Source organism: Homo sapiens, chromosome 4 (genome assembly GCF_000001405.40).
Source record: "Homo sapiens chromosome 4, GRCh38.p14 Primary Assembly".
Lineage (NCBI taxonomy): Eukaryota > Metazoa > Chordata > Mammalia > Primates > Hominidae > Homo > Homo sapiens.
Genome location: NC_000004.12, coordinates 104,466,896 through 104,494,895, shown reverse-complemented (window position 1 = coordinate 104,494,895; position 28,000 = coordinate 104,466,896). Strand labels below are relative to the sequence as shown.

Below are 28,000 nucleotides of genomic sequence, written 5' to 3'. Positions count from 1 at the left end.
CGCACACAGCGACTGGAGACGGACGGAGAGCAACGCGCTGGGAGAGGAGAGACCACCGACAACAGACCCGCGCTCTCACACATACACTCACACTCGACTCTTTCCTCTCCCCCCACCTCCTCCTCCTTCCACCCCCACCACTAACACCATCTCCTCCTCCTTCTCTCTGCAACAAGAAAAAAAAGCCATTTACAGGTATTTTTTTTGATCCGCATATTTATTTACCCCCCCCCCCCCAACAGTTTGTTTACAAGTATTAAAGTTGTAATTGGGAGCTGCCAAGACACATCTGGATTTGTGTTTCTTTGTGTTAGGGGGTGATGTGCAACTAATTAAAGGCAGACTGGCAGCGTCTGCAAATTCTAAGGCTCCCCAAATAAAAAGAGACTGGTAAGTGATTGTTCTTTCTCTTTCTCTGGCTTTTTTTTCTCTTAAATGTTTGCTGTCCGTTGGGATTGTGAAAGTAGATTATTAATGCTGGACTCCAGCAAGAAAAAGCGTCGCTGTATTAATTTATTAATTAGTCTGCACCCGCCCCTCCTCCTGAATGTTAAATATGACCTTTGATCTCTATGTCTCTGGTAGACCAGACATACAGTATTAGGCATGTAAAGTCACATTGTTTAAAGGCAAAACAGGATCATGAAGTATGGATCTCTAATTTAGCTTTGGCATAGAACTATAGTTATTTGTGTGTGTTTTATTTTGTTTTTAAATAAAATCCAAACAATAGCTGTGGCTTAGATACCTTTTTCATGCTCCAGAGATGCATTGATTAAACAATAATGACCTGGATACTGGGCATAATCATTTTCTACAGTTTCTGGTGGTATTAAACCTTGAGGTAGGAAGAGGGATGGTGATGGCAATCAGAAAAGCAAGGAAAGCTTGTGTTTGGAAACACCACTCTAAGACTCTAAAAAAGGGACGTTAAATTATTTATTTATTTGGAACAAGGTCAAAAGACTAAAAGGTTGAAAATTTTCCCTCCACTCAATGTGATGATATCTAATGCATGGTTGACATAACTAGTTTTTACTGAGTAGCAGTTATTATGGTCTTGCAGTTACAATGTGATTCGCAGAAACTGAAGCTATATGCATATTCTTGCTGTGTCTTCCCTCACCCCTTCCAAGCATCAAGAATATTTAGCCAAGAGCATTTTGGGGGCACCTTTTGTATTGCCCTCAGACCTGAGAAGGCAGCAGTTTTCCCTAATGCGAAACCACAGAGGTGGTTCCTGAGTGATTAGGGACTTGCTGTGATTGAAAGATGCCTGCAAGCTTCTAATCCAGCCTGGGGTGAGGTTCCTTATCTTGATTTACTTTGCCTAATAGGGATTTGTTTACATAAACCCCTCTTTTTAGAGCACCTCATCAGTAGGTCTTGAAGTTTTTGCACTTGGAGTTTGGGCATAACTGGTTCATTAACCTAATTATAAGCATAATTACTATAATTGATAACCATTTTGAACTCTGAATATTTGAGACGGAGACTATTGGGCCCCCATGTAGAATTCCCTGAACTCTGCATTCTAGACCAATCTATGGGCTTCAAAAGATGTCACAAAAAGATATTCTGGCCAAAAAATCTGGAAACAAAGAAACTGGTTTTTTAAGTGAATATACACTTTATGCCTTTGCTTTGCTTCTTAAAAGGCTGTGATGTACTTCTCCCTCTGTAATAAACAACTAAAATACCTCTTCCTAAAGCATAATAATGGCCTGTAAGCAAGGAGATTAATGCAAATACCCAGTTAACATTAAACTTTCCTCTTAAAAAGAGCAAAATTAAAAAATAATTTTGTTATTTTTCTCTGGCAAAGAACACGTTAAAGCCCCCCCCCCTTTTACTCAATGTAAAAATCAGTGATTGTGAGATATCCTTTTCAAAAAGTCCCATGCTTTCCTCTTGTCTTCGGAAGAGACAGCAATCTCCATTAGGAATGATTAGGAATATTCTTATAGAGGCTGCAGGCACTTGGTTTAAAACCTGAGACATTGCTGATATAAATAAATATGTATATATGTAATTATCTGGCTTATCTTTATTTTCTACCTTAAAAAAAATCAAGTAGAACACCACCCTCTTACCCCCACCAAGACCCACCACCAAATGGCTTGTACAATTGAGACCTGTCCTTGGTCCATTGAATTAAGACCCTAACAGAGCCAGCTGTGCTGGGATTCAAACTAATGACCGCAGACACAGAAGGATACTGTGGCAGCTGGTAGTTCTTTTTTCCCTGCCTCTTTAGTTCAGATTGTATGTGGGCAGTCTCTTAGCTCTCAGTTGTATTGTGTTTGCTTACAGTTTATACTCGGATGTATTGTAGACTTTTTCAGTACTTCATTTGCTAATTTCCTGTTCATTTTCCTCATAGGGCCATTGCTGTTTTCTACTTTACAGCATTTGCATGCCCAGGCAGCACTTGTTCACACATTTCATAATGTTTAAATGCCCTCTGCTTATAGGTAGTATCGCCCTCCCACCCATGATTTGCATGTCTTTAGCACTCCAATTGCCCTTTTCCTTAGGCGTTTGTCACCCCCGTCTTCCTTCTTTCCCTGGGTATCCTGGCTATTAATACATTTTCTCAGGAGGGTTATAAGAATAGGGGGGAGGAGCTGTGGTTTGCTGTGGGGAGGGAGGGAGCGGGGGTTGGGAGAGTTGGGGGGGATGGGCTGGGGGGGGTCACGTCTTGATGATTCTTATGCAAACGACCTGATGGAAGAATGTGGGAGCTTTCGGTGTCTGCGGTGGGTTAGTGAGGGAGGTTGTTTATTTTTAATCTTTTTCCTCGTGCAGCTCGTTGGAATGACTTTCTTTATTTTAGTTGTAACAGTTGGAGGATAATGCAAAGGAAGACGCTGCCTGGGAATTCACCGTCTGTGGAAATGAGCCCCAGAGAGGAATAAAGCAGCCCTCACCTTGCTCTCCCCACCCGAACCCACTTTCCCCACCCGCCTCGGCCCCCACCCCAACACCACCATCACTCCCTTCCCTCCCCCCCACCTTTCCCCCTTTTCCACCCAGGTGTCGGACCAGGCGGTCCCCACTTCCACCCTGCACCCCTTCTTCCCCCCCTGCACCATGAACACCAATGTCTGCGTGGAGCCCGGGCCGAGCCCGGAGGCCCCGGGCTTGCCCAAGGAAAGCCACTTGCCCGAGGGGGCTCTGAACAGCCTTGTGGATTACAACTCGGAAATGGAGCGCTACCGCTCCTTTGCCACCTCCTTCTACAAGACCAACGGGGGCGCCTTCCCACAGGCGGCCAAGATCGCGCGCATCACCACCCCCATCTTCCCCAGCAGCGCCGCCGCCGCCGCGGCCGCCGCGCGCATCGGCATGTCCCCCTGGAACTGCGACAACGCGGCCACCGCCGCCGCCGCCACCGCCATGCTCTGGGGCAGCGGCGGGGGCGGGGGCGGCGGCGGGGGGGGTGGCGGCGGCGGCGGCGGCGGCGGAGGCGGGGGCGGGGGTGGTGGGGGCGGCAGGAAATCCTCCTCCGCCGCCGCCTCCTCCTCCGCCTCCTCCTCCTCGGCGATCCTCCCCGCCGGCGGTGGCGGCGGCGGCGGCGGCGGCGGCAGCAGGACCAGCATGCACCACCGAAACGACTCCCAGAGGCTGGGGAAAGCTGGCTGCCCGCCAGAGCCGTCGTTGCAAATGGCAAATACTAATTTCCTCTCCACCTTATCCCCTGAACACTGCAGACCTTTGGCGGGGGAATGCATGAACAAGCTCAAATGCGGCGCTGCTGAAGCAGAGATAATGAATCTCCCCGAGCGCGTGGGGACTTTTTCCGCTATCCCGGCTTTAGGGGGCATCTCATTACCTCCAGGGGTCATCGTCATGACAGCCCTTCACTCCCCCGCAGCAGCCTCAGCAGCCGTCACAGACAGTGCGTTTCAAATTGCCAATCTGGCAGACTGCCCGCAGAATCATTCCTCCTCCTCCTCGTCCTCCTCAGGGGGAGCTGGCGGAGCCAACCCAGCCAAGAAGAAGAGGAAAAGGTGTGGGGTCTGCGTGCCCTGCAAGAGGCTCATCAACTGTGGCGTCTGCAGCAGTTGCAGGAACCGCAAAACGGGACACCAGATCTGCAAATTTAGAAAATGTGAAGAGCTAAAGAAAAAACCTGGCACTTCACTAGAGGTCAGAGGAGATGATTTCTTGTTTCCCAGTCTCCCCCCTTCCCTCCTCACTCCCTCTCCCCTTCAGGGATTCTTGTCTGGCTTCAAGATGCAGTACCCCTTCTCAGAAGCTTCATTCAGGTGGTAAGAGTTGTAGGTGGTTTGCGAAAGGCTTGGCCTCTCCACCACCCGCACCAGCTGCACTTCACGTGACACCGCCCTTCTGATAGAGAGAGTGCCCTCCTTTTTATCCCTGGGGGAAAAATAATGTAATTGAAGAATCAGAAGTTTCACATTCAATATGCTCAATATTTTCCCTTGGTGGTTTAAAATGCCCCCTCCTCCTCATTAAAAAGGGTGGGGCATCTTGCCCAAAGGACTGGACACATCACATCCTATACAAGTTTACTGGCTAAGTTAGTGGCCCATTTATAACAGTGAGGACACAGTTTGTGGTACACAAGCCTGTTCTCATTAAAAAACCGGTAACAAACCACACAGCAGTATTCAATGAAGTTGAAACACCTGGATTCAGAAGGGGATTTCCTACCCTTTTCTAGAATCATTTTTCTACTCATCAAGGCAGAATGTTTTCTATTTTATTTTCTGCGTATCTGATATTTTTGGAGAAAGCTGAAACTGTGTAGGAAGCGGATTTCTACCTGCAAATTTTGAGGAGATGTGACTTAGAATAAAGGGATACAATTAGTTAATTTCAGGGCAGATAAGAGTGATTTTGTTTAAAAATTATTTTATGTGGTTTTAGAATGAATAATTTCTAAAACTCAGTTACAAAAAAAGTATTTCCCCTGGGCTCTGCATTGGACAAAGTAACCATTTTGTGGTTACAAAGTTGGTGTATACACCAAGCACAGTTTTGGTTGATACCTTATATGGTCAATAATAGTTTCTTTTACCTATAGGTCTTTAAAACAGATATTGTACAGATGCTCACTAAAGTAATTGTTAAATTAGGTTATGAATTATGCTAAATACAGAGATTGATACCTTTGATAAAAATTTTGTATTGTGTCCTGATCAAAACAAAAATGGGGAAAAATGAAAAATCACAGGTAAATGACTTTGGTGGTATATTAAACAAAGAAATCTGGACAAGTACTTATAGTTAGTCTCGATAAAATTTACAGGGTAGATAATTAGATGTTCATATATACATGAGACTGTAGGTGGTGGGTTTAGCATTCTGTGCTTTAACATTTTAATATTCTGTGGAGTGAGTTGCAGGATGAGAGTGGCTCTCACAAGTTATCTTAGGGTTATCTGTACATTCTTTTAAAAATTGTGAGTACTGCTTAGAGGAGTTTGCTTTATGAACTGGGAAGCAGTCTTTAAAAGAATAAAGAGAAGGGTTAAAGATCTTTGGTACAGGTTTGAACACAAAGAAGATACAGTTTTTTTTTTAACCTTTAATTGTGTAAATCAAATGAGATAGCCCTCTAGGATTCTAAAAATATCAGAATTATGTTGATGTCATTATTGGGTATGATCAGTTTCATCAAAATATTGCATTTATTCTTCTTTATAAGATAAATCAGCTCTTTTTGGAAAGTTTAACTTTACTCCTGGATGGTTTATTACATTTTCTTTGGCAACTTTCTTTGTGCAAATATAATAGCAACTATAATGCAGGTCCATGTATTTTCTTAGGTGGCAAAAAATAGCTTTTGAATCTTCTTTGCCGGATTAATTTATTGTAACTTCTAAGGACTATGGGAAATTAAAATTCAGTTCATACTGAAATTCTCTATTCCCAGCTGATAAGGACAACATGGCTTTTATTTTTCCTCTTGAAATGTAGTATCTAGAATTATAAATTTGGTTCTGCTGTTAGGCCTCATCTTTAGCTAGACTCGTGGCACTACTTGCATCCCAATTTAAGATATGTAGTAACTGAATAATTCTGATTTATTTAGTAAATAATTACCCTGCAGGGGTTTGATATGAGTACCAATAGGTTTTCTGCACAAGTTTCTATGCTGGTGTAATTTTTTAATTTGATGCTTTTCCTACAAGCTTGTTGTGATATTTAAATTCCTCAGGCATTTTGATGACAAAATCCCATAAAACTACATTTTCTTCTTTTTAAAAAATTCTCATGCACAAAAATTCTGTTACTCTTCACAAGGTGGGGTATGGGTAGAATAAGAAGCTGATTTTTTCCTTTGAACTCTCAAGCTGATCTTCTAACTTCAGATCCCTTCTATCAGAGCATGGGCTGTGTTTCAAGGCTAAGATTATTAGCGGAATACTATTTGGCTAAAAGAAATAAAAAGCTTTTTTTCAAAATTGTATAAGATCCTATCTAGATCATTAAAAAAGACAATGCCATCATGACTGCCTTAGACCTATGTGCAAATACACAGTTATGGTTGTAGGAAACCAGCTGAGCACATGTCAGAGTGACAGGGCTTACATGACTGAACCAAAGCTGGAAGAGGAATTGCAGGAAGGTGAAAAGTCCCCCTGCTGACCTGGTTTCTCTCTTAAATTTGGTCCATCCTCATCTGGGAAAATGTTTTAGAGATTGGATGGGTTCCTGGCTGAGGGCAGTGATTTGGGGACTCATTGTGGATATCACCTGTGGGTTCCAGATGTAAACTCCATAGCTAATATTTGTTGGCTTTGAATTATGGGTGCCAATTAACATCTGGATCATAATAATAACATATATTCTTCTTTATCACTTCAAGACTCATGTGCCACTCTTCCCTTTGACTTGTTCTCATCCCAAAGACTGGAGACATAGTCAGATTTTTTTTCAGGGTGAGAAAACTGAAATTAAGACAGACTCACATGGATATGTTGGGACTCTCATCCAGATTTTTTTCAAAGCCTCCTCCCTAGTGTTCCTTTTAAAACTGCCTTCTATTTTTCTGCTTAGTCTCACCTTAAGAGCATCTTATGATGCCCTAGAAATGTGTTTATAAAATCACCCCTTGATCATATTTGATATGATAATGCACACAAAACATTTAGTTTTTCTGTTATACTGTGCACTGTGTATTTGCATAACCACTGTTCATTAAGTCAATTACTCTGTTAAAAAAATAGCCACTAATTGTTCAAAGCAGTCATTACAAATGCTCTCTGCCCCTTGTGTGACAAAAACTGTTTTAAAAATTTCTATCCTAAATGAAAAATATTAAGTTCCTTGATGTTTTAATAAACGTGATCATATAGGAGATCCTTATGATAAGTTACATGATAACACTTTGTCTCTTGCAAAGATAATCCTTCAGTTTTTATATTCACAACAGTAACATTTCTGATACTGACTTCTAACTTTTAAAAATATCCCAATCTGATATGGCTCAAGGGATAAAATTGTCCCATGGGCAACCCCAGCCTCTTAGTCTCTGAACATTGTTCAGGTGACATGATTGATCTCTGTGGGACAGCATTAGAGACCACACAGATCTGGTTTCTCTACCATTAGTTGATTTATGGAATTACATTAGTAAGCAGTGCCTCAGGAGGTTTCCCTTCCCCCACTCTTGGCTCTCTTTGCAGTAAGTTTCACACTGCCACCACTGAGACTTTCCTTGAGCTGGAGAAGAAACTAGAGAGAGCAGGTTATAGTGAAGACATTGAGAGACTGGAAAGTCAGGAAGAAGGATGGTTCCATTTTTTTTCTTTACTTTCTTTTATCTCTTAAAAATCTATCTGCCGAATGTACAGGCCAACAGTAATTTTTCCACAAGTTAGGTTGAGTTTCTAAGGGGGTTGGCAGAAAAAAATTCAAATACTGTCTCTAACTTGATAGCTTACTTCAGAAGAGTGTAATAGGGGAGGAGGGACATATTGTTTACGCTGTTAAGTTCTAAGAGCCCCAACCATAAATGGCAATTGTAAAACTCTGGACAAAGCACCATCTGTAATGAGTACAGGAAGGTGGCACCTGCCTCCTGAGGAAATTAACTTGTAGACCAGATGTAAAATAGGTGTGTCACTCAAACTAAGAGCTTTTAGTTAATAAAATAATTCAATAATTGAACATATACATTTCTGAGGTTTGGTGACAAAAAAATCTATGGATAAAATGCAAATGTTTTGTGTCTTAAATGGAAACATCCACCAGTTTTTTTATGTCATAATTTTTAAGAAATGAGTTTTCAATTTTTCATCTCAAGAATAAGAAACTTACCAACAGAAAAATATTTTTATTTTAACCAAAAAGTGCAAATATATAAGTGAGTATGAAAGGGAAAGGGGAAATTTTTCAATAAAATTTAAACAAAATGATAGTATATTAACATTAGAATGTAACATATAAATAATGTAGGAAAAAACACCTCAATTTTATAAATAATAAGGAAAAAGCTTGGAAAATTTTATCTTTGACTAAAGCCACAAATGAATTTGTGGCCAAGGCATCAAACTGCAAAACAAGTTCAATGAGATTATTTTTCCATCACTGGATTTAATACAAGGGAGTTAAAGTTGTTTTTTATATACTTCAAAATATCATGTTGTACCCACAGTAAATACATGTAATTTTAACTGTCAGTTTAAAAACTTACAAAGCGTACATACATTTTTAATACTTCCTAAATGAAAACAGTACCCTCGCCCATCCAACCATCATGTAAATTCTAAGCCATGTTTTAGATGGCAATTAGGAATAATAAAATAAAGTAATTAAAATTCATTTGTAAATTATGCTATAAGAATGTTTGAAATTCAACCATCATCAAACAAAATATAAGTGAGCAAACACAAGGCATATAAGAGCAAATTTAAAAAATAAACTTTAGGTTTCTGAAAAGTGTATCTAGTGATGAAAGAAATAAAAGTCGTGTGGCTTTTCAAGTTCTTAAATAATTGATTACTGAAGTATTTCTCTATATTTTGTTTAGTCTCAGTCATCTACTTTTCTGAATTAATAGTTAAGTTTTGCATAGTCAGACTTATAGATTGATAAGTACAAAACAATTTAATAAAATAGCCTGTAAGATTGAAAATTGAAAGGCATGCAAAAAGAACAGGCATTTGATCCATATTTGCTCCAGTTGGAACATTGTTTAACAGGTTCCAGGCTGAAGATCCATGGTGGGGTGGAAACATTGTTGGAATATTCTGAATACAAACTATCTTTCTGGATACAAAGTTAAACATTATACTATTTGAGTATCTCTCAGGCATAGGTTGAAAGTGTGCTTTTAAGAAAGTCTTCTAAAGTTGTTGGTGCTCTCAGAATTTACTGCTGGACCTCAACTGGTCAGATTGTCTGAATATGCAGAAAACATTTCACTTCAATTTACTCTGAAAAAGCTTGACATAATGTCCTACTATTCAATATGAGTGGATATGCTTTAATTTCTTAAATTTATTTTACTCCCATTATGCAAAATACCAAAAATAAACTCTTGCATTTGTCATATAGAAATATCTAGTTAAAGTCATAAGTTAAATACAAGATTTATTTAAAAGCCCATGTAAATATACAAATTGGAGAAAGGACTAATTCTTTTATAGTTTCTCTCATATTCCAAGATTAGTTTGTAAAAAAGCAAAAATGAACTGAAAATAAAATCTAAATTTTATTAGTAATGTGACTTTTAGTCACTGATCAAAATGTCAGATGATCTTAGCTGGGGAAGTAGGGCATTCTAGGAAGCATCATCTTTTATAAAAACTTCTTTTCAAGAAAGTATGTATTTTTTGTAATCCATGTAAATTTTGAGAATTTTGTGCATGTGTAATTTTGTTCCTTCATTTGTGCATCAGTGTTTCTGACCATTTTTAACATACTTTTAAATCTAGCATTTTGCTGCTATTATTAGGATTTTCAAAATATTGGGGGAGGGGCATAAGGGTGATTTTATCCTTGAGTCATATCTTGTTCCATCACATGCAAACACCTGTCCTGAAATTGAATTATTCTGCAGGGTAATCGAAAAGCCTCCCTCCATTCAGCATCATATGTTTTCTGTTGTTTATTGAGTTATGTTGTACCATACTTCAGATGCGACAGCCATTTAATAATGTTGAAGACTTAGCTCTGCAGGGGCTAAAAGGATCCCAGCAGGCTTGTTAACTTCTACTCTAAAACATTATGAGAAATATTTTTTCCTCTGTGAAACTTCTGGGCTTTCTCTTAATTTATTTTAAGAGCGTAAGAATCCATAGCTAGGTATGAAATCAAGCCTGCTGAATTTTTTGGTTTCCTCTTTCTTAATCTTTAACCCATTTATTTCCCACTATGTTTTTTACTAAAGAGATTGTGGCAAAGCAAGCAATTACTTTTTCAAAGACGTCATATTCAAGATGTATTTCTTTGGTTTATATAAAATGGTATAAATTATATTCAGGAAATATACTACTAAGCTCCTACATTTTAATTTCTTTTCATTTAAAATTATATGTGGTCCATGTGGCCACATAGGTAAGAAATTGTGAAAAGAGCCACTAGTATCAAGTAACTTAATAGTTGAACAATGTTAGGTACATCAGCATAACTTCTCTGAACTTTATTTCCTCATCAATAAGATGAAAGTAATATCAACCTACCTTATAACGTTTTAACATTATATGTAGTTTAATGTTGTTGGCAAACTGAAAGATGCTATATAATTTCTCAGTCCAATTTTAAAACCTCAATGGAAATGGAGAATAAGGCAACTGTATTTATAGATAAGAAACCAATAGGTTACTTATAGTTTTCAGACATTAAAGCCCTGATGTCTATTAGTGGTATGTGGTTTTTGAATATTTGTTTTAATTACCCAGTTGGCAAAGATATGACTTGAGTTTACTTGGAAAGAGATAAATCTAATTAAACATGTTTCCTTGTTCCTATACTTGCACTGTCAAATGTCTTAGGAAACTGAGCATATTACCCAGTGAAGTCAGTCAATATGGTGAGCCAATTTCAATTATTTAGTGCTCTTTCTCCTTCCTTACCACAGACATATCACCACTATTAATTTTTATATATTTTGATAGATGTGTGTGTGTGTTTATGTTTCACGTTACTAACCCAATACTTTTATTTGACTTTTTTTTCCAAGACACAGAGATATTCTAAATGTGAATTTGTGAGGTCAAGAGAATAATTGTAAGAAAGAAATGAATTCCAGTTGGAAAACATATGTAACAAATATTAGAAAGTGAACATATTTAACAAATTTGGAAAATTCGAGAATATATATATATATGAGTGTACATAGGAAATAAAACAGGTAGATATGCATTTTTACCTAAAAAGTGAAGTAGCTACATGAAGTTTTTCTGTTTTTTACTAAAAACAGAATATTTTTTAAAATGAAGACAGTTATTAAGCATTAATCGGAATAGCTGGTGTTTTTCTGGGGAAAAAGAGTGATAAGCCCTAAAAGATTTATAATGCTGACCAAGAAAGATGAGAAACAAAGGAGAAAGGAATATTTAAGCCAGAATCCAATGCAGTGTATAGAAAGAACTTTGACAAGATGGAATTATGGATGTATGCTTTGCTTTAGCTGTTATAAAAGCTTTTTAGATGATGGAAAATATTTTTTAAAAAGAAAGATAATTTTTTTTTAATGACTAGACTCAATACTTTTGGTTTGAGAGTCAGAACTGAGGCTTGAGTGGAGTGGCAGATGAATTAGAGATAAGGAAAAACAGATTGTGTTATAGCTGATGTTATTATTTTTACTTATGCATTTGAAACATTTGGTAGAATAATTCCAAAGTGTAACTAAAAGAGAATACTTCCAAGATGGGTGGAAAATGGTATCCCATTTGTGTCTCTTCTGCATTAAAATTCATATTTTAGAAAACATTCTTGAGAAAGTAAAGTGTCAGACTATGGGAAAGACGGTGCTGAAAGTGCTGCTTCTTGCCCAAAGACTAAAAGACAAGAACAAAAAACCCCACACCATACCACAACTGGATTATTGATAATACTATAATGATAGGGATCAAGTAGGATGAAAAGAGAAAGGGATATATGTTTGTAGATTAGGAAAAATTTGGACATTTCTGTCTATTTCAGCAAATCTGGCAAATGCCACAGAAGATAGATATATTTTCTCCAAAATTTAGAGAATGAAACAAGATTAAATACATTTTTAAGTGAACAGAAGACCATATAAATTTAATCATGTGGAAATGGCGAGAACTAGTGTTGGTGAATCAGTGGTAGAAAAATAACTATGCTTGGGAATAACTTCTCTATTGGCAATGCTTTTTAAAAATAGATTAAATTAGATAAGTGGTGATCTTAATGTTAAGTGAAGATAAGAAAAAAGGATAAAATTAACAGTCATATGTAGGTGTATAAGAAGTGAAAAGTTGTGGAGTCTTCCATTAAACATGAAATATTTTGTGTGCTCTACCTTTAGTCCGTGAAAAAGAAGAGAGAACTTTGGCTTATTTCCATCGAAAGAGAAATACATTAGCTCTTCTTTGTAATGCTGCTATATGTAGAGTTAAATTCTTTATGAAGTGGAGTGGTTTTAGATTTTCCTCATGTGATTCTTTTCACATGAATTCATTTTTGTACAGTATGGAGGTGTGTTTATCAAACTGCAGGTGACAATATGTTGGTGGTCCATGAAACCAATGTTTTAACTTACCATCAAGATTTTTTAGAAAGTAGGTTAGAATAAAATGGAGCAGAAAAATATATGAGTTTATCACATGTAGTAATAGCAAGCATTGTTCAACTTCTGTTTCAGTTATGTACACTTAAAGAAATGTATGTGTATGTATGTGCTGAGTTGCTGTGTAAAATGTATTTATAACTTTTAGTTGCAGTCAAATTTGAAAAACATTAATCTAGCAACAGCAATATCACTATTGAACAAGTCTGTAGTGAGGAAAGAAATTATATTTGAACAATGTTAACAAGATAAAGAGTAAAATTGAAATGTTTTTACAAATAGCGTATTTTTACTTATTCCAGGCAGGTCTATACCTTTGCTGTCTATTCATGAATATATGGTATTAATTAGCACATAGTAAACCCTTGATAAATTCAATTCAATTTAACAGATGTTTAGGTGGAACTGTTATCTTCCAAGACTTAAGTTCCATGTATACATACATACGTATGTACCAATATATATGTACATGCATATATACACACACACAAATCCTGGCTTAAAGAACCCTAAATGTTCTTTATTCCTGCTCTTTTTACAATATGCATGTAATTCTCTAGCTCTGGGTCTTAGTCCTTCATCCAAGGTACTTAGTTCCATATTTTTTTTTTTCTTTTTTCCCTTGAGACAGGGTCTTGGTCTGTTGGCCAGTCTGGAGTGCAGTGGCGTGATCTCAGCTCATTGCAACCTCTACTTCCTGCATTCAAGCTATTCTCATCCCTCAGCCTCCCAAGCAGCTGCAATTACAGGCATACGCCATGATGCCTGGCTAATTTTTGTATTTTCTTTAGTAGAGATGGGGTTTCACCATGTTGGCCAGGCTGGTCTAGAACTCCTGACCTCATGTAATCCGCCCACCCCAGCCTCCTACAGTGCTGGGATTATAGGCGTGAGCCACAACACCCGGCCTCCCTATTTATATTTTTAATTTTCAGCCCACGAAATGGACAAATGGCCACATTTAAACTAACATTGAAATTTTAGAAAATTCTGGAATCAATCTCACACCTATTTAAAAGCCTTAGGATTCCTTGACTCATCCTTGGTTTAGTTCTCCACATCTAGATAAGTAACACAGACTAATATGATCTCTGCCTTGCTACCTCATGTGATTCTGTAGTATTATATTTTCTGTTTTATTTCAAGGCATATTTTACAGACTGCTGGAAACCTTTGTTTTACCTGAATAAGAGAAAAGATTATATTGGAAGAAAGTAAGAAGGGAAGGAAGGAAGAAAGGATGGAAGGAAGGAGGGAAGGAAGGAAGAAAGGATGGAAGGAAGGAAGGAAGGGAGGGAGGGAGGGAGGGAAGATAAAGGCAAGGAAGAGAGGAAGGAAATACAGGAAGGTTACAGAATTGCTACTGTTTAAGGGAAATCAGAAAGGGGCGTATTGGCAAAAAGAAATGGCATACTTAAGGTCATCTTGATCTGGTTTCAATAAGAAATGGGAAGCAATAGTTAGTCTCAGAATTTAGGGAAAGGTGTCATGGGTCTGGGTTTAGATCCACTAGAACCACTAAGCATTTTTTTTTTTCCATTTACCATGGTGGAAAAACTAGTTTCAGGAAAACTAAGTATGTTTATGGTTTTTTAAAAACATATTTTTAAAAGTAATTCTTAAGTCTGCAATCTGCAATTAGAAACATAGAAAGGCCAAGATGGGAAAACCAATGCTCGAAACTAATGATAGTGTTGAGGGAGCTCAAGGCTATCCAACCCCTATAATGAACTGATGGTACAAAATGTCAGTGTACTTTTTAAGTAATCATGAGGAGAATTTCTGAGAAAATACAGAATCGTGCATATAAAAAAGGCTACTAAAGAATGATGATGAGAAGGATATCAATCACTACATCTTATAAATCCTATGGTGGAAAATTTATTAATTTACTTTGCTAGTTAGTTGACTATCTGAATGTGGCTATGTTCTACTGAGTATATAGGTTTATATACTCTGGATGGAGCACATGATACTTATAGAAAAAGAGGTAGTTCATGAAAACTTCCTGAGGAGAAATTAGAATCTAAATACTTGAGAATTTGTTCTAGACAAGAACAAATGCCTACCATGATGTTATAGTAGTGGAAAATGCTTAATAGTATTTATCTTCTTGATGAAAGTAGATGAACCAAAGTGTATTTCTAAACAGTTAAGAAACATATAAAGACTTGATAAAAATTAAATTAATTATTGACTGTATACTTTTCAATTTTATTATTTTAAAAGAGAATTAAGAGAAAAGACCAAAAGTCGAAGTCAGAGTGATTGTTAATTTGAGCATTCCGTATGATGGCAATTGAAAGGAAGGAATAAAGGGAGAGAGGGAGGGAGGGAAGGAAGGAAGGACGGAAGGACGGAGGAACAGAGGGAGGGAGGGAGGGAAGGAAGGAAGGGAGGGAGAGGGGAAAAAGAAAGAAGGAGGGAGAGAGGGAGGGACAACAAAAGCTACATTTTATTATTAGAACTATAGTTTTAATCAAAGTAAATTATTTTGGTGATAGCATCTAGTTGACTGAAATATTTAGAATTAATGTTTTCTAAATTCCTCTCAGTAGTTCATAAACATAAAACATGCTGTGAATTTTAGGCTGAGTCTCTCCCAGTGGTTGGATAGTTCATAACAGATTCTGAGCCACATGAAGCTCAGTGACTACATCCAAAATGCTACTTGACTTAGCCTAACAGGAAATTTTCTGTTAAACTTTTTTTCACTTTTATGTAATTAAGAAATAAATATTTATCAGATCTCAGAACTATAATAATAAAAGAGATATGCCATATTGATTTGCTGATGGAGGCTAAATGTAACTACTTTATTTTCGTATAAATTAGAGGGTGTTCAAATCACAGTTTTGATAGTCAGGTTAAACATCACCTCTTAAGATTTTTTAAGTGACTTCTCATTTTCTAGTATTTTATATGAATATTTATGTTTCTCTTCAATAAAAAAGGGATAAAGTTAATACGGTTTCACTGACTGCTTTAAAATTAACCAGAACTTCAAAATTGTCCAACCACTTGGTCTGGGAAAGGCTGCTCATTGTTTTTCAATGGCTAATTACCAATGAACTCACCTAATGCTATGCTGTTGCATTCAATGGGAATTACTTGAGAAGAAGTTGAATTGTTGAACTTTTATACACACATATATATTCATATATATATACACACACATATTTATTTAGAGTCTATAACCATATATATTTATACATATATATACATGCAAATGAAATATGAACATATGACTATATAAATAAAATAATTTCAATCATTCTTGAAAGTATAGTATTGATTTTATTAACCCAATTTTTACTTTTTAAATCTTAATTTTACTTCTAATTTTCTTTCACATTCTCTCTTACACATAAGGTTAAGTATATAACATTGCTTTGATAAATACCTTTTAAATTTGTGAATTATTGAAAGATTTTCCTCTTTCTGCTTACCATGGTACCACCGTACTATGTTTTATTTTTATATGGGTAAGAACATTTTAACCACTAAAATACCCACTTATAATACACTAAATTTACTTATTTGTTAGAATGGTGTGGTTTGAAGTATTTTTACGAAATTTAACTGAAATATAATTATATACGCATAGCATTATCAAGAGACTTGCTTAACTAAAGTAGTTATATTAGACCTATGGCCAAAATGGGTACATTTTTTGGTCACTTCTGGACCAGTGTGAATCGTGGTGTTAATCTGTCATTTTACCTCCCACCAACCCACTCCCACCGTGTACACACATTCTCCTTTGGACAGCTGTTTTCATGACAGGCTTTATCACCATATGGACTTGACTTAGTGCCTTTACAACATAATGTATAAAGTCATCTTTCCATTTGCAGAAGTTAGCTAGGTTTACCTTCTAAAGTCACACCGTCACAGTCTAAAATCATGCTGTCACAGTGGTGATGGTAACTGTGGTGGTTGCAGTGTAGGAGTGCAAGGCAAAGAGAGCAACAGGAGCAACAGCCAAGGGAGAATCAATTATCAATGAAAAGGCCATCTCTAGTTCTCCATCATTAATCGGAGAAATCTTGGTCACAAATGTCAATTTGGAAACCAAAATATGGAATGTTTCTTAAAATCATATTTAAAGCCTCCAAAAGTTATGTCATAAAAATTACCTAGTTATTTGGTGCTTTCCCCTTTTTAAATAGGGGTCTAATATTCCAGTTAGTGGATGATGTTGAAAGTTGTTTTTAATTTATATTTGGATAAAGACCAAAATAAGGTGTGATTATACCAAAGACATACAGTTATGTAATAAATGAATCTGGATTATTAGAAAAATTAATCTGCTATACATTACAGACATAATATGGATTTATTACAACAGAGCAGAAGAAAAAAGTGAGGTGTAATTTAAAAAATGGAAACAAGTATATACTTATATTACTCCAAATATTTTTAAATTTAGATATTATTAATAAAATGTTTTGTTTATAATAGCAATAAATTATTGGACTGTGTGATAATCATTAATAGTTCTCTTATATTATTAGCCTATACTTTACTAGTGTTTTCTAATAACTCTATTATAGTTACTAGACTATGATTTCTAAAACCTATCATTTACAAAAGGAATATAGAAAAATCTTTCTGCTAAAAACTTGTGGGGGAGGTGTTCACCTTTGCTAGGTATTATTTTATATCATAATTATTAATTATTCAAAGATTCATATTACTATGTATTAATTTGTGTCAATCAGTTTGTTCACATTCACAATACTGTATACGTAATACAGTTTCCAATTTCTCCAAGTAGATTTTGAAATTTTGTTAGTAACATAATCAAGAACCTATATAACAATGTTTTAGCATTCTTCGTGAATCAAATCAGAAAAAAAAGGTAGTTTTTTTCACCATCAGCAACCTGCTTGCATTTGTTAATCCGGAAATTTCTAAAGTTTGAAAGTTTTATATGTAGCCACAAACAAAATCTATATAATTGAATAACTGAAGGCAAACAGTGGGGTCCATTATTATGTTTTGTCATATTTATTCACTTACTTTCTACTGCAAATTTTCAGTGATTCATTAAGATCTTTGCATTCTAGTGTGAAATGATAGACTTGAATGCAGTGGAGGTTTCCAGTATCAAGGCCTTAGATGCCGAGGAGTCTAAGAAACTTACAGTGGGACTCCTCATAGTGAAAACAATATTTCAAAAGGTTATACAGTAGGTGGTATTGGCTAACTACAGCCTGAAATTGCCTTAAGTTTGGTTGGGAAGAAAGCATGCTTCACGATTATATGGGAATCATAAAATGATTTCATGACTTTTGTTTCTTTAATAATAAATGGGAAAACAGGAAATTATTTTTGATTAGTATAGAAATAATGGTATCCCCAAATAGTGACCTTCAGTTGGAAATCATGAGAGCCATTTTGTTTCACAGTAGAATTTTGAAGGCCTAGGTGAGTCACTGAAATTTTTAGATTCGAAAGTATATGAATAAATATTGGAAAGATAGGTTTAACTTTAGTTATAGACATTTCTAGTATCATAATCATGATCTCAATTTAAAATTGTATTTAAGGTGAATTTCAGCATCAAAAGTTTTCATTAATTTCCTCTTTGAAACCTCAGGTCTAATATTATTAAAAGTTTTAAGTGCAGTTTTGTAAATATTGCTACATTTTACACACTGTACTTAGATATGAATGGCCAATCCACATATCCTCATATGTACAGAGTTAGAGATGCCCCATTTTCAGCTTTTAGGAGCTGATGTTTTATTAGACTTGACGTATTTCTAACAAGAATATGTAGATGCATTCTTCACCTGAAGATACCACTTTCCGTGTGACTGCTTCGCAGGTATGAGAAGAGAAACATGCTAAAATCCTTAAGGTGAAAGCTTTTCATATTCTTTATTATTTTAGGTTGTTTAATTATTTCATCACTGCAGATTTAATGAAAATCAAACTGAAATATATATATATCTGCCAGGAACATTATTAAATTTTAAATTTTTTTAAAAAGTAAATATAAAATGTACTTGGACTTAGGTTTTATCATTCTTTTATTCAAGGAAATTCCCTTAGTTTTAATGTAATTTAGGGAGAAACAGAAGACTCCTTTAGACTTGAAGATAGTGTTGTACCTGGTTTGTGTAGGGGTGAATTCTCTGGAACACTGTGCTTTACAGCAGTACCAGAAAGAGAACTGGGGCTGCAGGTTTCTCCACAGGCCTCCTGGGAGCAAGACGGCTGTTTGTCAGCGTTTGCACCTGCATGAACAGTGAAGGCTGCCTTAAACAATGCCGATCAACTCAATTCTATTCTTTACCTCCCCACCCCCTTCTCTTCAGGGGAATCTGGCTTTCCTGTCACTCAGGATAAAGATCCCCTGCAAGCATCACTGAGATCCAGAAAGTCACTGTAATCTCATCAAGAGTGTGAATCCCTAGCTGGGACTTTGAATTTATACAACCCAAAGGTGGCTGGTCAGGGTATTTAATCCCGCACATTGGTGTGCTGAGCCCCCGCACCATTTAAAAAGAAGTCTTCTTACAAGGATAACCTCATTAGTTGACAGAATGAAAAAATATGTGTCCTCAAATTAGTACAAACTTAGTTAGAAACCTGTAGTTTAACTCAATATTTTATCTATTAAAACATTGTTGCTTCACCCAGCTTGGCTGAAACAAACTCAATCAGTCCTAAAGTACATTTCCATTGTTCCTGATGAAAATTGGGCAGGAGATTAGATATACATCTATTTTGGGTAGGCTACAGGACCCTAAAGAGTTTTGACACTTTTAAAATCCTGAAATACAAATTTCTGGTGTGTGCCTTGATTATTTTCTAATTACTGCACCAGTAGTTTTCCTAATTTTTCTCACATATTTTATTTGGTGATTTCCCAACTAATCATTTTTAGGCTTCTTGACCTCAAGGATCTTAATATAAGGAAGAAATAATTTTTAAAAGAGGCTTCCCTGCTTACCTTCTCACTTCTCCTGCAATAAACTGTCCATATTCTTACATCTGGGGATGCATACTGGTCTCAATGTATGCATAGTAAAATCACGATGCACAGTAATATCAAGTAAGTGTAGAAAACCTTTTTTCTGCTTTTCTCGTGTTTGCATTGTTTAATTAATTTGTACTGCTAACAGGTATTGAGAAGTGATTATCTTTTTTTCCCACAACAATGACCTTTGACACTAAGTGGCATTTTATAAGCTTGCTTTTTCTAAATGTTGCAAATAAAATTGAGTAGCTGAAAGGGGCACAGGAAGAGCGAGAATTGGAAAAGAGATTTAAAAGTATATCTAAGACATAAGGACTTCATCTCATTTAAAAAATGTACTCCATATATTTTTGCTGTTTATCTTCGTAAACATATATGTTTATCAAGATACAAGATTACATAAGTATATATTTATAATCTTGTTTCCAGTTGGCATCTGAGAGTAAGTTGGCATCTCTGTGTCATACATATACACATAAATGTGAATATATATGAATATATATGCACATGTTTATTTTTCGTATGTGAATCTGTAACCATAGATCTATAATTGCATGAATATGCTTGGATCTAACTTATCTCGTTAGAAGTGACTACATTTATATAAGTGTGCATACTTATATAAAATTTATTCTTAGTTGGCATCAGCCAGTAAGTTAGCATCTGGTATAAACTTTTAAGTTTTCATTTATTGCTTTTGTGTGTGTATAAAGCATGAATATTAGAATGGGCATGTTCTATTTCTTATTACGTCATGTAGCTTCTTAATAATGATTAAATTAATGTAATCAATGTGTATAATTATTACATTTATCCAAAAGTTAATTTTAGAAAGTAGTAAAGAAGTTTTTCTCACCAATTAAATCAAATGATAGAGATTCAGGTATGCATAGTGAGCTGGAAAGGAGAAAACCAATGAAACCATCTTATAACAGGTTAATAAGATCAGTACAATTTCCATGAGAATAGTGAACTTTTTTGTTTGTGCTTTTAGAAAGCGCTGCTCAGGCAGATTTTGTTCTGTATACCTATATGCAGACTTGGAGTAGGAAGATAGTCATTTATCAATGATTTGTTCTCAACACAGTCATTTTGAAATTTATTGTGTTTGTGATGAGGACAGTCTTTTAAAAAATTATTTTAGTACAGATAGCGAAAAGCATGTTTGCTTTCCAAAATATTTATTTTATTGTTTTCTAGTTGACATCCTAATCAATTAATACTTTTATTATTAGATGACATAATTACAATAGGACAATGTCCACCAAATAACACGTGTGAGAAAGTAAATAAGAGCTAACCTCAATTATTAGAGGGTTTTTAGCAGAATTTTGTGTTTATTTTCTGAAATCCAAAAATCAAGTGCTATTAATGTTTTAAGATGCATTACAAGTAATGTGTGTGTATGTATGTGCTCTTGTGTTTTTGTTTACCTAGTAAATATATTGGCACTTACATTCAACACATCAATTTATATACTTATTTATCCTTAGCAGCCATCTTACGATTTATACAGGCTTGTTGGGCTAGTCTAAGGAATAAAGTCAACTTTCTTTTGCAGGAGAATGTATTCTTAGCTTGTTGTTTCTTGCATACCTTCACTGTATATTCATGTGATTGTTTTATGTATATCATTAGAATACATTTTAAGGAAGGATATGGCATGAGGAATTATTAGATGTTAATGTACATAGAAAATTCAAGCTTAACTACCATTTACCTAACAAGAAAACCTCATAGTAACTATAAGCTTTTTGTTAAAATGATTGCTTATACTTTGGTGCTAGCTTGATACTTCTTTGGAGAAACCATTTATAGTATGTTTACAATTCAATAGGGTAGTTATGCTTCATTGAATATCATTGGTTAGTAATCAATTTACTTTATATATATATTTGTTGAAAATACAAACTCACTTTGAAACAGTGATATATTTTATGAGTATGGTTCTCACTAGACTATAAAATGTGTTTAGAATTTAATGATAAGTGTTGCAGGTAATATTGATATTTGTTATTATTCTGTCAGAAAATCTGCAGAATAAATTACTTAACTGAATTTTGAACATCAGCTTTACATAATTGGATATGTATATATATATATATTGTGATTTCTATACATAAAACAGTGACCTAAATTTCAGTTTCAGTTTTTGATTGCATTTTTGGTAGGGTGGTTAGAGACAGAGTAATTCAATCATAGTCATTTTAACCGCATAGAATGCTTATATGTCTCACTCATGTTTAAGACCATGTGCTGCATAGCTGATTGTATCTTTAGAAATACAAAAATACAAAATAAATATCTATCATGAGAAAGGACTAATGTAGAAAGCTAACCAGCAAAAGTGAATCCTTTCTTTCTTCATTATGTGATTGTGCCTTCTGTGTGTATGTTATCCTGACGGTAAGATGATCCACTCAAAATGATGTAGGCATTCTGCAAGGCAGATATAGATTTTAAGTACCTGTGCTGACTGGTCTTCCTCATATTGGTTAAGAGGTTGAACTTTACCTTTATTCTGCTTCCTATACGTGTTTCAGGCTGCATTTCCTATATTTTTAAACCAATGTGTTTTAATCAGTATATTCAGCAAGTTAGCATTAAATTCAATATTCTAATTATTGTCATGTTCTAAGATTGAGCATTTCTTCTTTTTATTAAATGTTGAAATATACAAGTCATTATGTTGTACATTGGTAACTAAAAATATTGCTGAAGTGTAAAGGAGAAAAATCTAATTTTATATTGGCATAGAAAGAAAGCTTAACTTGTTTTCTTGCTCTTTTTTTATAGAGAACACCTGTTCCCAGCGCTGAAGCATTCCGATGGTTCTTTTAAAGCAGTAGTATATCTTATTTTCAAGGCATTTGGAAATGAAGGGCAAACTAATGTCTTGTTTTAAGAAACTGCTTAGTCCACCACTGAAGAAAATATCCAGAAATTATTTTCATTTTATGTATAGGGCTTTCTTCAAAAAAAAAAAAAAAGAGGAAAAGAAAAGAAAAAGACATAAAAATAATGTGAGAGCTTGGAGAATTGGCCAGTCTATTTACTTTCAATACGCTGATTCTTTCTTTGATGTAATTTAGCTATAGTAGTGAAGTTGTTGTCTATTTTGAAAGTGGCTGTAAAAAATAAGTTTGGGTAAACCCCTGCTGTAAAATCATGTATCTTTGCAAAGTACATATCTATACTTCATTTTCAAATATATGTGTTTCAGTACTGTAAACTGTACAGATAGCAGCTTGTATTTTGTGTGTTTAGACACAAGGAGACAATCATGTCTGAGCATCTATGGAGATTAACAGTTTGTACACAACAGTATGGTTCTGCAAGTTAAATCTGGAGCAATAAATTTTAGCTTTAACTATTTTTTGCCAGTGGTTTAGAAGCAGCAACAGCACTGGCACCATTTTGCCATGCATCTTTCCATAGAGACTTGATGCCAAGTTTTACAAGACTAAAAGATTATGATGCATCCACCAATTACCTTCAGTTTTATTGTTATAAGAGGGGAAGATGTTATGAAAGTTTCAATTAATCTTTTGAGCACTATATTAGAGTAGTGGTTATGCACTTGCATTGCTTACAAACGAGCTGTACAGAAGGGTATACCTCCCAAATACTTAGTGTAGTTGACTTGTCTTGGGTTGCACTGTAAGGCAGAGTACTCAGAGTAGTTGGAAAATGCAGAATCAGTTGTATAATTTTTTTTTATAAAAACGGTGTTTTTTAGGCTAAAGAATAAAGTATCATATCTTAGGAGGGGAAAATTTATAACTGACATTTTTTCCCCAGCCCAATATGGGCTGTATACGTTTTATTGTTTCTTAATTTTTTTCTTATTTTTTCTGTAGGAAAAAATCTTAATAAAAACTACCCCAATGTTTTAACTTCATGTATGATATTAAATGGGTAGTTTTAACACTTGAATATGTTGAGGGCTTCTGCCTTGAGGCAGGGCTTGATATATTTTTAATTTACAAAGAATTAAACATATTCATAAAAGTGAGGCATTTTATCTCTTTTTATTTTCTTTTCTCATAGCCACCCAGTTGGACTAGTGGTCTTCCCCTGGTCCTTCAGTAAAATGCTCCATTGCTGCCATTTCCATTGTTGTTACTTGATGCTTTCATTCCTGAGAAGGCAGGGCTACAGTCTCTGGAATTTCATAAATGCATGACATACCCCTCCCCCCACAACCTACACACAAAGGATCTAATGCTTCATAGAACCTGTGCTACCTTTTCATGTTGGAGTTGGTTTTCTTATCACAGTCAGGGTTCTTAAGGCCGTCCCATCAGGACAAATATTTACCTTCCATTTTATTTCTGTTTGTCCCAATTATAAAGACTATTTTCAGTTTCAGGAGTAGAACAGGGTTTAGCAAAAATATGTAGAGTATCAAAGTTACCTACTGCAACTTTTTGTTCTTTGTCCACTAGCCAGGTGATTTAACCCACTAAATCCATTAGCTTGCTGAAAAATGTTAGCAAAGTAAATCACGAGAAGAAAGATAATTTGAGAAGAGAAATGGTATGGTACAATGAAAGAAGCTGTAAAGATTAGGAAAGACTAGTAAGTGAATATTTTTAAAAATTTAGTTGTAGATTTCAATGGGATACGATAGGACAGAAAAGATTTTTTAAAAAGCAGAAAGAGTGTTTCATGGTGAAAGTACTGGGGGAGGGTGGACAAAGCATGCACACATGCCAATTTGAAAATCAAGTGTGACTTACCTCACGTAGAGTATGAATACATGGTCCACAGTTATGGTCAACAAGCGTTTTCAAGAAAAACTCATGATGTGTTACACCCATCCATATTTAGAGATGAGAATTAAATGATTACAAGCTAAAATGTGCTGTATACTGTATTAATTTTGAGATAGCTTTCTACTTGATGTATATTTCTTTGAGGGTTTCTATCTAGTTAGAATTTCAGCTTCTGCTGTGGGACCAATGAGAGCTGTATGAGTTTTTTTTTTTTTTTCCTTTTCCATTATTTTATTTTTTGTTTTTTGTTTACCAATTTGCTAATTAATTACAAGTAAGTGAAAACTTACTTTCACACTTGAATGATAAGCTTGCCTTGCTCTTTGGAAAATGATGATTGTTATTACAGAAGTGAAACAAACTTCTATTCAGGCTACAGTAGGCATACAATAACCTAAAGATCTCATAGAAGTATACTGAGAGTCTAAAATACATTCTAGTAGTGCATGTCTTGGTGTGCTTTTGTTTGTTTGCTTTCTAAAAGAACTAATGAATCTGTATATTGTAAACTGTGGTGTTTTACATGTCAATTCATTTTTTTAATGAAAGAAAATTTGTTGATTACTGAAATGAGAAAGTGTAGCTTTTCATTAATTCTCTTATGTTTTTTATTCTTGATATTGTTCTTTTATACCACCCACTTTTTAATGTTTTTGGTTAAACTCCATTTATATAATGTAGGATGCATATAAAGTTCTCATTGGTGATGTTGAAGAAAGAGATGACTCTTCTGGCCTTTCTCTAGTTTTCTTCCTCATATGTCCCTGTACTGAGAACTTCTAAAGCTTATCATTATAAACCTAAGGCAGTGATTTGAAAGTTTACATTTTTCATGATTTTCAAATACCAATGAAATGTAACTTTTAAATATTCCTCACTGTGTGTTTTATATTCACTGTCAAGAAAATTCAGAATGTAGATTGTGTGGACAGCTATACACAACTTAATAATTATATATCAGATAAACTGAATAAAAAACTTTGTAAGAGTGGTCTACGCACACAGGATCTTGTCCTCCCTAGGCGTGGATAGAGAGATGCCATAATCTGCCAGCATTTGGGGAGATCATGGTAAATACTTGAGGCGTTGATACATAGTGCAGTGAGCCAATTTCCTTTTCAGTTGTCACTCAGCACCATAACATCACGAAGAACATCATTAATGCAAACCTCTCACTAAGCCTTCAGACCAAAGTGGCTTTCTGATGGACTCTGCCTGTCTGTCTACAAGTGGAGTCAGATTCAAAGTAGAAATGTATCCATCCTTGGGAAAGAAAATAGGAAGTCTTCCCCCACTGTAGGAGTATATAAAAATGTCTCCTGGTTGCTTAATTCCCAACACTCAATTTCCTTCTTCTAAACACATTTATAAGGAGCAAGAGATGGTGCACTTATTATGAATTAATATTAAGCAATCACTAAAAGAAAGGAATATTCTCTTCCTTTCAATCAGAAACCCTGATATGTAAGTTGTGCAATTAATGCTAAAGCATATAAAGTCTTTAAGCTGATAAGTATCTGTAATCAAATAATGAAAAAAGGAAAGCAGTTAAATGAACACACTATTCAGGGTCAAATATGTTCAGCAAAAAGCCGTAGCGGGTCTTTGATCATGGTTAGATTCACAGTGATATCAAACAGTTGGTTCTCATGTAACAGCTAAATGTTTCAGTTTTTTTTTTTTTATTAAATTTGGCATTTCACACTGAGATCTGTATTCCTAGTGAATAAAAGACAGCTACTATATTAGGAGGGATTCCATTTTCACAATTGCAAAACAGATATTTCAGGAACATGGGCCACAAAATGTACTCCTTTCACAGTGTTCTCCTCTTCTGAACTGTGCAGTTATCTATTAAATTTTCTAATAGATATTTGTGTAAGGTGTATGTATGCTTGTGCAATTATTTAAAAAACGGTTTTGGAAAACAGTGTATTTATTAAAGAAAATTACTTATGGGGCATGTACAAAACTGTAAAAAAAAAAAAAAAGTAAAAAAAATCACATTCAATTTGCCCAGTAAAGTTGTTTTTGTGAAATTTCTGTGTTGTTGAATAAAGGACTTTAGTACTCAAAATATCTCTATTTTTCCATGATAAATTTTCATTTGTGGGATTTTAAGCAATGAGCATATGATCATAAAAATTTAATTTTGTTTATGATAAAAAAAGTTTATAATTCTACACTTGCCCTTATGTCAGCAGAATGAGTGCTTTGTATAAGTCTTTCATAAAATATTCCAGGGATTTTTTTTTCTCCTTATATATTTTTTTCTCATACACTGAAAGAAAAGAAAAAAGAACATGATTCCTTATCCATTTCTAGAGAATATATTTTTGTTGAAAACCTAAAAGGTGTAAATAGAGGAAGAACTGAATGCACCCAAACATCTCTCCTTCCTTCTGCATCGTAAGTGTGCCAGGAGAAAACATCTCAGGCATTTTTTTTTTCTTACCATGAATGCAAAGTCTTGGTGATGCTACTTGAAAGCATTAATGTGCATGAAGAAATTTGAAACACTGGAATTCTGTCTTCAGCCACTCTCAGCAATACTCTGAGATGAAATTTTTATTGTGTTACTTTTTTATTATGGAATATTGTGGTCCACACATGTTACTCATTAGTTGATAGTGAATGTGTTTAACACTTATTTCACTGCTTCCCAGTACAAGGTCCAGTTTTTTTGATGCCTTATAAACTACAAAAATATGTAGAACATGGTTTTATATCTTGGAAATATTTAATATGGCTACAAACACAGAACTTCATACAATTGAAAGATTTCATGTCTATAGAACACCATATTAGAACATTTTTATACATTTATGAAACATTAGCATGTGTTCTGTTAGTACAATATCAAAAATATAAAATATCAGGGCTAAGGCAATAGAATTGGAATATATATGGTGAGAAAAGATAATTAGGTAATTTTTATTATGTGAGTTCCTGAATACTCAGTAATTTTCAGGTAAGTCACTATGCCTCTGTATCATATTTTGGTATAAGCAGCAACAATATGGCAAATAGATTTAAATGGATTTTCAAGATAATGCTCATTTTTTAATTTAAATCATCACGGATACAAATACTTGGATGTTCATGTGTAATGATAAAAGAGAGTTTGAATAAACCAAAAAGGCAAGCGGGGCAAGAAATATCTATAACTTACTTAGATATTGAGTCTGATAATAATTTCATGTGGACTTTGCACAAACATGTATTTTTTCGAGTGTGTTTATTGGTGGAAGTTGTTTTTGTGTCTATTTTCTACAGAAACTTCTTTCCATTTTTTTTCCACTCTTTTCTTCTTCTTTTTCTTTTTTAACTTTGAATTTCTGGGGTACATGTGCAGGTTTATCTATTTTACATAGATAAACTTGTGTCATGGGGGTTTGTTGTATAGATTATTTCATCAGCCAGGTATTAAACCTAGTACCCATTAGTTATTTTTCCTGATCCTCTCTCCTCCCACCCTCCATCCTCTGA

General features: G+C 35.1%; 1 protein-coding gene and 1 long non-coding RNA gene across 4 annotated transcripts in view, besides 2 other annotated features; one reads left to right on the top strand and one right to left on the bottom strand.

Moving 5' to 3' along the window:
- CXXC4-AS1 (CXXC4 antisense RNA 1) overlaps positions 1-3,931 on the bottom strand; it is a 206,628-nt gene extending 202,697 nt beyond the window's left edge. The window contains exon 1 of the long non-coding RNA NR_125926.1: positions 3,836-3,931. This is a non-coding gene — a long non-coding RNA (CXXC4 antisense RNA 1). The remainder of the gene's footprint in view (positions 1-3,835) is intronic.
- CXXC4 (CXXC finger protein 4) lies at positions 2-26,588 on the top strand. 3 transcript variants are annotated; one of them, NM_001440652.1, is made up of 4 exons: positions 2-195; positions 315-390; positions 2,837-4,152; positions 22,530-26,588. In NM_001440652.1, exons 3-4 carry the CDS (start codon positions 3,094-3,096, stop codon positions 22,572-22,574), a joined length of 1,104 nt encoding a protein of 367 aa, NP_001427581.1. In that variant the 5' UTR covers positions 2-195; positions 315-390; positions 2,837-3,093; the 3' UTR covers positions 22,575-26,588. The 3 variants fall into 3 exon arrangements, 2 of the variants coding, with proteins under 2 accessions (NP_001427581.1, NP_079488.2); NR_132741.2 differs by lacking the exon at positions 2,837-4,152; NM_025212.4 differs by lacking the exon at positions 315-390.
- Positions 2,515-2,564: an enhancer, noted in NCBI's record as "active region_21765". NCBI's record gives its function as "activates an Ori minimal core promoter by ATAC-STARR-seq in GM12878 lymphoblastoid cells {active_cell/tissue: GM12878}" and the evidence as "EXISTENCE:reporter gene assay evidence [ECO:0000049][PMID:35858748]".
- Positions 6,567-6,756: an enhancer, noted in NCBI's record as "active region_21764". NCBI's record gives its function as "activates an Ori minimal core promoter by ATAC-STARR-seq in GM12878 lymphoblastoid cells {active_cell/tissue: GM12878}" and the evidence as "EXISTENCE:reporter gene assay evidence [ECO:0000049][PMID:35858748]".
- Positions 26,589-28,000: the final 1,412 nt, after the last annotated feature.